General features: G+C 39.2%; 1 protein-coding gene across 42 annotated transcripts in view; it reads left to right on the forward strand.

The window, feature by feature from the left end:
* CCDC7 (coiled-coil domain containing 7) overlaps positions 1-13,143 on the forward strand; it is a 439,541-nt gene that overhangs the window by 336,132 nt on the left and 90,266 nt on the right. The window lies entirely within an intron of this gene.

The following is a 13,143-nucleotide window of genomic DNA, read 5'->3' on the forward strand; positions in this document are numbered from 1 at the left end:
GGAACTAGTACCATATAGGCAATATGGCTGCCTTGTGATGTGCTTATTATTAAATTTGCAATGTCAAATGGTGACAAAGATCATCAGAATGTGGAAGAAGCTAGAATATGTGTGAAAGGTAGTGGTAGTGTGGTTAAGTGACTATTTTCTAATAAGATAAAACCAAAGTGTTCTGTGGTAGCTTTTGAATCACTCCTTAAAGGCATCAGGCAAACACGAACAAAATGGCAAACTGAAAACATCCAAACTCTCATTCCCTGACAGAAACGTTGAAAAAAGTTAGAATAATCTATCAGAACCAACTTTGTGAGAGCTTCAGAAAATAGTCACAGATTTATAGAAACCAAGAGAATACCTAATTAGGAAAAGTCTCTCTTCAAATGGTAAGAAAGTTTTGTGAAACTGTCAAAGGAGTGCTCCAGCAAAAGCCAGTATGAAAAGAATATGAAAAACTCCTGGCAATCACAGCATTACTAGTAGGCCCGCCCTGTTAAAACTTCTAGGCTGGGCGCAGTGGCTCACGCCTGTAATCCAAGCACTTCGGGAGGCTAGGCAGGTAGATCACGAGGTCAGGAAATCAAGACCATCCTGGCCAACATGGTGAAACCCCGTCTCTACAAAAATACAAAAAATTAGACAGGCATGGTGGTACACGCCTATAGTCCCAGCTACTCAGGAGGCTGAGGCAGGGGAATCACTGAAACCGAAGATGAGGAGGTTTCAGTGAGCCGAGATCACGCCACTGCACTCCAGCCTGGCTACAGAGCAAGACACCGTCAAACAAACAAAAAAACCCAGAATTCTCCAGGTTAAAATGAAGGAATGCTAGACAGTAACTTCAACCATATGAGGAAATAAAGATCTCTGGCAAAGATAAGTCCATGGGCAAATATAAAAGCCATTATTATTATAATTTTGGTTTGTAACTCTGCTCTTTGTATCTATAATACTCAAAAGACAAATATATAAAAATAATTACAAATTTATGTTATGGACACACAATATATAAAGACATGATTTGTGATGTTAATGACAGGGATAAGTTAGAGGGTGCTGCATAAGAGTATACTTTTTGGATGGATTGAAGTTGAGTTGGTGTCAATTCAAATTAAACTGTTATAACTTTAAGATGTTATATATTATTTGCTTGGTAATCACAAAGAAAATATCTATGGTGCATGCATGAAGAAAAGAGAAAGGAATCAAAACATGTGCCTACAAAAAGTCAACTAAACACAAAAAAGATGGAATTAGAGGAAATGAAGAGCAAAAAGGTATAACATACAAAAAACAGGTATCAAAATGGCAGAAATGTCTTTCCTTATCAGTAATTATTTTAAATGCAAATTGATAAAACTCTTCACACAAAAGGCAGAAATTTGCAGAATGAATTTTTTTTAAAAAATGATCAACTACATGCTGCTTACAAAAGATGCACTTTAGATGAACAAAAATGACAAAACTTTAGCTAGATTGACTAGAGAAAAATAATAAAGTTGCTAAAAATCAAAACAGAAAGTGGGAACATTACAACCAATTTTAAAAGAATAAAAAGCATTGCAAGAGAACACTGTGAACAACTGTACACCAAAAAAACTGGATAACCTAGAGGAAATGAACAAATTGTTAGAAATATACAATCTACCAGAACTGACTTATGAAGAAATATCTAAATAGACCCCTAATTAAGATGAATACTGAATCCTAATTAAAATTTTCCAACAAAGAAAAATCCAGGACCAGACGACTTTATGGGTGAATATTACCAAATATTTAAAGAAGAATTAAAACTAATCCTTCTCAAATTCTTTCAAAAAACTGAAGAGGAGGGAATACTTCCTAACTCATTCTATGAGGACAGCATTATCTTGATACTAAAGTCAGAAATGCTATAAGAAAGCAAATGACAGACCAATATCCCTTATGAATAATGATGCAAAATCCTCAACAAAATATTAGTAAATAAAATTTAGTAGCATACAAAAAATTATACATCATGAATTTATGAGTTTTATTTCTCAAATGCAAGGATAATTCAATAGACAAAAGTCAATCAGTGTGATATACCATGTTAGCATAATTAACAACAACAAAAAACCCCACTGGATCCTCTCAGTTGATGCAGACAAAGCATTTGACCAAATTCAATACCCTTTCACGTAAAAACAGTAAACAAGCTAGGAATAGAGCACTTCCACATCATGATAAAAAGCCAAATACAAAAAATCCACAACTAACATCATATTCAATGGTAAAAGATTAAAAATGTTTTCCTTAAGATCAGGAGCAATACAAGGACACCTGTTTAGATAACTTCTAGTCAAAATAGTATTCAAAATCTATCTGGACCAGTTAGAATAGAAGACAGGTAGATGATAGATAGTTAACATCCAAACTGGAAAGGAAGAAATAAAATTATCTGCCAAGAGGTGACATTATCTTATATGAAGAAAACCCTAATGATTCCACAAAACAACTGTTAGATATAATAAACAAATTTAGCAAAGTTGCAGGATACAAAATGAACACACAAAAATTGGTTACATTATCTATGCACTGGTAGTGAGCTATCTGAAAAGAATTAAGAAAACAGTTCCATTTACAATGGCATCAAAAGAACAAAATATTTAGGAATAAATTTAACCAAGAAGGCAAAAGGCAAAAGACTTGTATACTGAAAACTACCATATAATGCTGAAAACAATTAAGAAGACATAAATAAATGGAAAGACATCTCATGTTCATGGATTAGAAGATAACTTGTTTTTTTTTTGTTTTTTTTGGTTTTTTTTTGAGATTGAGTCTTCCTCTGTCACCCAGGCTGTGCAGTGGCGCAATCTCAGCTCACTGCAACCTCCGCCTCCCAGGTTCAAACAATTCTCCTGACTCAGTCTCCCTAGTAGCTGGAATTACGGGCACATGCCACCATGCTCCGCTAATTTTTGTATGTTTAGAAGAAACGGGGTTTCACTATGTTGTCCAGACTGGTCTCAAACTCCTGACCTCAAGTGATTCGTCTGCCTTGGCCTCCCAAAGTGCTGGGATTACAGGCATGAGCCACCGTGCCCGGCCAGAAGACAATATTATTAAGATGACAGTAATACCCAAAGTGATCTACACCTTCAATGCAATCTGCAGTTCTTATCAAATTCCCATAATACTTATGAGGTTATTGTTGCAAAATAGAAAACCCTATCTTAAAAATCATAGGAATACAAGGGACCACACATATCCAAAACAATTTTGAAAAAGGAGAATAAATTTGGAAGTCTCACACTTCCTGATTTCAAAACTTACTATAAAGCTACAGTAATCAAAAGAGTGATATACTGGCATAAAGCAGACATACAGACCAATGGGGATAGAATTGAGAGACTGGAATTAAATCCTTGCTATGTGGTCAAATAACTTTCAGCAAAGTTGCCAATACCATTTACTGGTAAGAAGGCAGTCTTTCCACAAACGGTGCTTTCACAAAAAGACAGTCTTTTCCACAAACCAGATAGTCACGTCAAAAGAATGAAGTTGAATCCTTACCTTACATTATATACAAAAATTAAAATGGACCAAATACCTACATATAAGACCTAAAACCATTAAAACTCTGAGAGAAAAACAGGGAAAAGCCTTCATGACATTGAAGTTAGCAATTATTTTTTGGGTATGACTCCCAAAGCACAGACAACAAAAGAAAAAAATAGGTAAGTTGGACTTCATCAAAATTAAAAACTTTTGTCATCAAAAGACAGTGTCAGAGAGTGAAAGCACAACCCAGAGAGTGGGAGAAAATATTTGCAAATTACATATCTGATAAGGGCTTAATGTCTAGAATATACAAGGAAGTTTTATAAATTAACAAAAAACTCAACTCCATTTAAAAATGGGCAAGTGATTTGAATAGACATTTTTCCAGAGGAGATATACAAGTTGCTAATTTGCCCTAAAAAAGATACTTAGCATCATTGGCCATTAGAGAAATGCAAACCAAAATCACAATAAGATATCACTTCATAGCCATTAAGATGACTCTCATTATAAAAACAGAAAATAAGGAATGTTGGCAAGGATGTAGACAAATAGGAACTTTTGTAAATTGTTCATGGGAATGTAAAACTGTCACTGCTGTGGAAAACAGTTTGGTTGTTTATCAAAAAGTTAAACATGGAGTTCTCATATGATCTATTTACTTCAAGGTGTAGGTGTAGACCCAAAAGAATTGAAAACAGGTACTTGTGCACCAGCATTTATAACAGCATTATTTACATTAGCCAAAAGTTGTAAACAACCTAATCTCCATCAGCAAATGAATGCAGAAACAAAATATGGTATATACATACAATGAAATATTATTTCACTTTAAAAATGAATCATGTTCTGAAACATGCTACAAAGTGAATGAATCTTGAAATATTATGGTAAGTGAAATAAGGCAAATACAAAAGATAAATATTGTATCTTATTGTACCACTTATATGAGGTACCTACAATAAGTAGACAGAAAGTAGATCAAAGGTTCCCAAGGCCTGGCAATAGAGGCTAATAGGGAGTTATTGCTTAATGGGTAGAGTTTGAGTTTAGAAAGGTGAAGACTTTCTGAAGATAGATGGTGGTGATGGTTGCACAACAAAGTGATTGTGGTTAATACAATTAATCATACATTTAAAATGGTTAAAATAATAAATTTTATATTATGTATATTTACCACAATAAAAATGAAGGTATTCTGATAAAAATACAAAAATTACAAAAGAAATTTTATTTTATTTTATTTTATTTTTTAAGTTCCAGGGTACATGTGCAGGATGTGCAGATTTGTTACATAGGTAAATGTGTGTTATGGTGGTTTGCTGAACCTATCAACCCATCACCCAGGTATTAAGCCTGGCATGCATTAGCTCTTTTTCCTAATGCTGTACCGCACACCCCACGGCCCTCTGACAGACCCCAGTGTGTGTTGTTCCCCTCCCTGTGTCCATGTGTTCTCATTGGTCAGCTCCCACTCCCAAGTGGGAATATGCGGTGTTTGGTTTTCTGTTCCTGCGTTAGTTTGGTAAGGATAATGGCTTCCAGCTTCATCCATGTCCCTACAAAGGACATGATCTCATTTCTTTTTATAAGCCAAAGTTCTTTTTTTTGAGACGAAGTCTCGCTCTGTCGCCAGGCTGGAGTGCAGTGGCGCAATCTCGGCTCACTGCAACCTTCGCCTCCCGGATTCAAGCGATTCTCCTGCCTCAGCCTCCAGAGTAGCTGGGACTACAGACACGTGCTGGGCGCCGTGACTCGTGCCTGTAATCCCAGCACTTTGGGAGGCTGAGGAGAGTAGATCTCCCGAGGTCAGGAGTTCGAGACCAGCCTGGCCCACATGGTGAAGCCCCATCTCTACCAAAAGTACAAAATTTAGCTGGGCTTGGTGGCACACGCGTGTGGTCCCAGTTACTCAGGAGGCTGAGGCAAGAGGCTTGCTTGAACCTGGGAGGCAGAGGTTGCAGTGAGCAGAGATTGCGCCACTGCACTCCAGCCTGGGAGAGAGAGCAAGACTCTGTCTTAAAAAGCAAAACAAAACAAAAAAAAGAAATTTTCAAAATGTATGAAGAACTGTGCAGAATTTATGGATCTACAAAAATTGAACATCTCTACACTATTTTCATCTCTATCAAATATTGCAGAAAAAAACTAGTTTATGAAGGACATAAATCCTTCTGTGCTAGACATATTAAACAGATACTTATAGAACACTTCACTCAATAAATGGAGTACACATGCAAAAATTGACTACATATTAGGCCACACATTAAGTTTCAATGAATACCAAAAAATGATTTCCACAAATCACATTTTCTATGATGCAATAAAACAGAACTAAATGATAAAAAAGATAAAAATTCTTCTGCACAATTTAAAATCCTATTTATAAGCTGAAGAAAACATAATGGACACTAGGATATATTTGAGACTAAATTAAATTTAAAACACTACACATAAGCACTTACAAGAGGTCCTTAAATAGGTTTTTATAAGGAAATTTAAAGGTTGCATATGATAGAAAATAAGGAAAACTAAAAAGTTAGGATTATAAGTTCATAGCAAGAAGGTAGAAAAAGAAGATGATAAAATCTGAAAACTAAAAGTAGAAAAAAGATTAAAATAAGAGAATTATTTTTTTAAAGTAGAGGACATAGAAATAATATCAGTGGAATAAAAAGTTGATAGTTTACAAAGACTTATGCATGGAAATATAATATATTTAGCAAATAAAGTAGAAGGCATTAATTGGGAGGATTTAGGAAAGGTGGCATTTGTAGTGGCATAGTTCTAAATTTTCTTCATCTCTCTTTATGAGTCATAGTTTGGTCTCTTACCATAATCCCATATTTCCCCAAGTTTTTGTTCATTCTTTTTTATTCTTGTTTCTTTATTTTTGTCTGAGTTGTTTCAGGGAGCTAGTCTTCGAGCTCTGAGATTCCTTCCTCAGCTTGATATATAGTGCTGTTAATACCTGTGATTAACAAGACATTAAACTTTCAACTCAGCCTTATTTCTGGGCTCAATGCAAGCCTAGCTAAGTGCTGAAGGGAGACTCTTAGGATAGAATTAACTGCAAATACTGTGAAAGGTGTTTGATGTGTGGGGGGAGTTCTTTTAATTTAAAAAGAAATGCTGACATTGGAAGAAATATCTATAAAAACAGTAACTGAACATGAGCTTTAAGTAACAGATTTCAGTGGTAACACACAGAATAAAGTAAATTTTTTGTAAAAATGATTTGCGAATACCTAAACAAATGTCTGACTGTAGCTTTCAGCAATCAAAAAGAGCAATACCTGGGGAAGGGAGAAAAGATAATCTCTAGCATCACCCCTTTTAATATCCAAATGAACAACTTTCAATAGAAAAAAATTACAGGGCATAATAAAAAGAAGTAAGTATGGACAAATCAAAGGAGCAAAATAAATTGAGAGAAACCATTCCTGAGGAAGCTCATACAATGTACTTACTAGAGAGACTTTAAAACCACTATATAAGGCCAGGGTATGGTGGCTTATGCCTGTGATCCTAGCACTTTGGGAGGCCAAGGCGGGTGGATCAATTGAGGCCAGGAGTTCGAGACCAGCCTGGCCAACATGGCGAAACTTCATCTCTACTAAAAATACAAAAATTAGCCGGGCATGGTAATGCACACCTGTAATCCCAGCTATTAGGGAGGCTGAAGCAGGAGAATTGTTTCAACCCAGGGGGCAGAGATTACAGTGAGCCAAGATCATGCTACTGCATTCCAGCCTGGGCAACAGAGTGAGACTCCATCAAAACAAACAAACAAAAAAAGAAACCACCTACTATATTAAATATCCTCAAAGAGCTAAAGGAAAACATGGACAAAGAACAAAAGGAAATCAGAAAAACTTTGTAAAAAAAGTGAAATAAAGATGATAAAAAATAAACAATATCCTTAGTTGAAAAGTATAATAGTTGAAATAAATAATTTATAGAGAGATTCAACAGCAGATCTGAGCAGACGAAAGAAGAATCAGTGAATCTGAACATAGGACAATTGTGATTATTAAGTCTGAGAAGCAGGAATAAAAACGAAGGAAAGGGAAGGGACCTGTGGGACACCATCGAGTGGATCAGCAACACATTATGTGGGTATCAGAAGGAGAAAAGAGAAAAGAGCAGAAGGAATTTGTGAAGAAATGATGGGTAAAAAATATCCCAAATTTGATGAAAGACATGCATCTACACATTTAAAACTAACCAAACTCCAAGTAGAATAAACTCAGAGATCCACACCGAGACACATTGTAATTCTGTCAAAAAATTCTGTCAAAATGCAAAGACAGCCCTATGGAATGACATCAGCAAGATGGCAGAATAAGATTTCCTAGTGCTTTTGCCCTTATAGAAACATCAGTTTGAACAGCTATCTACACATGAAAATACCTTCACAACAGCTAAAGAAACCAGATGAGAGATTACAGCACTTGAATGTAACGCAGATGTAAGAAAGATGCATTGAATAGGGGAGGAAGGACAGTTTTACATAATCTGCATCACTCCCTCCTTAACTTCGGGCAGCACAGTGTGGAGAGAGATATCCTTAATGTGAGGAAAGAAAGGTTAAATGAGCACTGGACTTCCTTGGACCCCAACATTCAGCCCACTGGGGTAAAATCCAATGCCAGCCAGGCCCCTACAGCCACAAACTCTAGGCCAGTATCTGCAGACCCAGCCTCCAAGCCCACCCCAATGCCAGGCCAGCTCCTGTGGCTCTAGGCTTCTTCAGGCCAGCTCTGCAAATGCAGTCTCCAGTTTTGTCCCACCGTCAGACCAGCTCTAGCAGTCCCAGCTCCAGGCTGGCCCCAGAGGCCCCAGGCTTCAGGCTCGCCCCTATTCCAGGACATCTCCACAGACTCAAGCTTCAGGCCTGCCCCTGAAGGCCTCTCCAGGCTGACCCTACAGATGGAGCCTTCAGGCCCATTCTGGCACCAGTCCAGCTCCCACAGATTCAGCCTCTAGTCTTGCTCCACTTCCAGGCAAGCTCCAGTGATCCCAGCCTTCAGGCCCACCTCAGCACTAGGCTGGAATTTGCAGCCCTAGAGTCCAGGCCACCACCTGCAAACCAACACTGCCTCAACACTGAGCTTGCCCCATAGACTCAGTCTTCTGGGCTGCCCCAGCACCAAGCTGGACCCAGAGCTTCACACCCCAGACCGATCCCAGAGCCAGGTCAGCCCCAGTAGCTCCAGGCCCTAAGCTGGCCCCTGAAAACTCAGGCTTCACATGTACCTGAGGCTCCAAGCCTGCCCCATTGTCAGGTCAGCCCTAGCAGCTCCAGGCTTCAGACTGCCACCAGCACTATACCAGCCTCTGTGACCCTATCCTCCAGACCAGTAGCAATCAACTAAGCTTTATTCCTGAGTTCAGACCCCAGGCCATCAAATCCAGCCTCAGATTCCAGGCCTATTTATGTGTATCCAACCTCTAGGCCTGCCTCAGTACCAGGCCAGTCTGCAGATACTGGTACAGGCCTGCCCAGTGTCAGGTAATTTTCTGTGGCCCCAGACTTGCCTCTGCAAACTCAGGTTCAAGGTCCAAGTTTGCTTCAGATTTACCCACTGTCAGGCTGGCTCTCACAACTCCAGGCTTTAGGCCAGCACCCATGGACCCAGCCTCTAGCTCCACCCTAGTGCCAGGTCAGCACCAACAAACCCCAGCACCAATCCATCTCCATGGAGCAAAGTTCCAGGCTCATCCAAGCACCTAGCTGTCCCTACAGACTCAGGCTAAAGGTCCACCCCTATACCAAGTCATTCTCCATGGACCCAGACATCAGACCAGTTCCCACAAATAACAAGATTCAGGTCTGCCCCTGTGGGCCCAGTCAATTGGTTCACTCCAGTGGACCCTAGCTACAGACCTGATTTTGTGGATATGGCTTACAGAATCATAGTGGATCCCAGTGCAAAGCCAGCCAATGTGGACCCAGGCTCTAGGCCCAACCTGGTAGACTCAGGCACCAGACCCACCTGCCTTCTCATCCAGCCACTAGGCCAGCCTGCCTGAGAACTCCAGCAGCAAGACTACTCATGAACTAAGCCAGATGACCAACCCATAGTCTCTGGTTGAGCTGAACGGTAAAGGGCTTTTTTTTTTTTTTTTTGCCAAGGCCAGTTTGTAAAGACTGGAATAAGTGCCTACTTCTTCAAATGTGAAAATACCAATGCATGGGCACAAGAATTATGAACAATCAGGAAACATAACATCACCAAAGGAACAAAAAGAGCACTAGTAATTGACCCTACATAAATGGAGATTTATAAACTGTCTGACAGAAAGTTCAAAATAATCTTAAGGAAATTCAGTTTACTACAAGAGAAAACAGACAACTAAGAAAAATCAGGAAAATAAGCAAAATGAACTCAATAAAGAGATAGAAATCATACAAAAGAACCAGACAGAAATTCTAGAGCTAAAGAACTCAATGATTGAACTGGAAAATTCCATATTGCATTTCAATAGCAAAATAGATCAGGCAAAAGAAAGAATCAGTAAACTTGAACACAGATCATTTGAAATTACCCAGAGAAAAAAAGAAAATAAAAAAGTAAAAAAAAAAAAAACCCTACAAGAATTATGGGACACTGCTATAGTTTGAATATGTCCACCCAAAAGCATGCATTGGAAACTTAATTCCCAATGCAGCAGTGTTCAGAGGTGGAGCCTTAATGTGTGGTGATTAGGCCATGAAGGCAGAGTGAATAGATTAATGCTATTATCACAGAGGAGTAGGTTTGTTATCTTAGGAGTGGGTTTATTATAAAAGGGGAAATTTGATTCCATCTGTCTTTCTTTTGCCCCCTTTGTGCTTCCAAAATACACTGGTGGGACAAGAATAGAATAGGCATTGCCATCCCAAAGTGACAAAATAGGTAAGATAAAAGGAGATAACTGGCTCCAAGTAAGTCCAAAATACAACAAGGAAAGCAACGTTAAATCTTAAAACTAGAGAATACATTTTTTTGACTTCATGTTCCACCCTCTGAGCACACTTGGGTGGGGGTTGGGCCCTCAAAGTCTCAGGCAGCCCCATCTCTATGCCTTTGCTGGCCTCAGCCCAGACAGCAACCCTCATGGGTTGGAGTCTTGTGCCTGCAGCTTTCCCAGACTGGCATTACACCTTAGTGGTCTACAGTTTTGAAATCTCATGGCCAGCCCCACTCCCAAGGCTCCACTATGCCTAGTGGTAACTCTGACTCCACGGCCCGCTCAGCATTGTTCTATTGGGGGCTGTCTGTGGTGGCTCAGCCCCTGTGACATGTTTCTGTCCGGGACCCCAGACTGTCCATGACATTCTCTGAAATCTAGGTGGAGGAAGACATGCCCCCACACTCTTGCATTCTGCATGCCTGCGGAACTAACACCACATAAACACCACCAAGGCCGACTGCTTGTGTCCTCTGGAGTGCTAGCCCAGACTGCACCTGGGGCCATTGGCACCACAGCTGGAGCAGCCAAGGAGCACCTTGCCATTCCTGGGTCCTGGCTGCTGTACTCAGCCTTGCAGAACATGGGCTTTATTGTGTTCCGCCCTTCCAGGGTCCAGAGTCACTACTCTGGGTTACCTCCTCTCTCAATGCCCAAGTTGCCACTGTGGTCTGTTGGCTCTAGAACTCAAATTGCAGCTGTGCCCTTCTCCCTAGGGCCTGAGCCTTTGGAATGCATTTTTTCTCCACAGCTGTGTCAGTGCTTCATTCTGATTCACAGGGTCAGAGTTGCAGCCATATTCCTGTCCCTGAGCCAAGCTACTGAAGAGTGCCTCAGAGTCAGAGTCCTCAGTTTTGTGGAAGATTTGCATCCACCTGTGCCTCAGAGAGTAAACCTGATCCCACATACTGGATACTTCAGTAGTTTTGCAAGACACTAAGCACAGGACCCCAATTTTACAGCCACTTCAATCCTGTGCCCTGGAACATAGTGCTGCTGATGCTGCCTGCAAGTCATATCAGACCCAACACCAAGAGGGATTTCTCAGCTAAGTTTCATTACTATGGGAAAAATGAGAGCAGGAGGTACTCCTGAAGCCTTTGTCACTGAGAACCCTAACAGCTACACAGCTACTATCACTGCCACAAATTTCTGCTGCCTAGGCCACTGAGGCACCCACAGTCATCATTGACATGGATCGCAGGTAAGGAAGCTGCACAGAGATCACACCACTGTGCTTACCTGGAACCGCAGCCACCACAACCTACCCAAAACACTACCCTCTGGTCCATCTGCAAGTGAGTCTTTTTCAAAAAAAAAAGCCACTCTATAAGTTTGGAAAGGAGACTGCTCTAACAGTGTGCAGACCTCAACACAGGTACATAAGAATCATAAAAAAGCAAGGAAAGACACCACCACTAAAGGAACACAGTAACTGACACCAAAGAAACAGAAATTTCCTGAAAAGGAATTCAAAATAATGATTTTAAGGTAACTCACTAAGATATAAGAAAATACAAATAGACAGTTCACTGAGATCAAGAAAATAATTCATCATCTGAATGATAAAGTCAATAAAGCCAAAGATATTATTTTAAAAAGGAGATAAACAGAAATCTTGGAGTTGAACTCAGTGAATGAAATAAAAACTGCAATTGAGAGCTTTGACAGCAGACTAGATCAAGCAGAAGAAAAAAAATCTGTGACCTTTCAGATAGGTCTTTTGAAATGACTCTATCAGAGAAGAAAAAAAGAATGAAAAAGAATGAAGAACACTAAAGGACTTATGAGACATCATTAGGTTAGCAAACATTGACATTACAGGTATTAAAGAAGGAAACAGTGGAGAAAGGGATGGAAAGCTTATTCAGTGAATTAAATGATGAAAATTATTTCAAGTCTGAAGGGAGACATGGATGTCTAGATCCATGAAGCTCAAAGTTCTCAAACAGATTCAGTCCAAAAAAGTCATTTTCAAGGCACATTATAATCAAACTGTCAAAGTCAAAAGAATTTTTAAAACAGCAGGAGAAAAGCATCAAGTGACATCGAGGACATTTCCATCAGATTTCTTTGTAGAAATCTTGCGGGCCAGCAGAGAATTGAATGATATGTTCAAAGTGCTAAAAGAAAAAAAAAATTAGTCAAGAATACTATACCCATCAAAGATGTTCTGAGAAATAAAGGAAAAATAATCTTTTTACAAACAAAACGTGAGGGAATTTATTACCACTATATTTGTCTTACAAGAAATGCTCAAGGGATTTCTTCAAGTGGAAATAAAAGGACAATAAATACTATCATGAATACATATGGAAGTATAAACTCATCATGGGTAGAGATAAACAAAAAAATCCAGAATACTGTAATGGTGGTATGTAGATCATATATATCTCTAGAATAAAGGTTAAAAGTCAAAATTGTCAGAAATAACTAAAGCTACAATAAGTTACATAATTCAAAAAGATGTAAATTGTGACATCAAAATCATAAATGGGGGAAGATACAAATCTACAGTTTAGATATGCGACAAAAATAAAGTTGTTATCAGCTTAAATTACTTGCTTAAAACCTAGATGTTGGCTGGGCATGGTGGCTCATGCCTGTAATCCTAGCACTTTGGGAGGCTGAGGTGGGCAGATCACCTGAGGTCAGGAGTTC

Source organism: Homo sapiens, chromosome 10, assembly GCF_000001405.40.
Source record: "Homo sapiens chromosome 10, GRCh38.p14 Primary Assembly".
Lineage (NCBI taxonomy): Eukaryota > Metazoa > Chordata > Mammalia > Primates > Hominidae > Homo > Homo sapiens.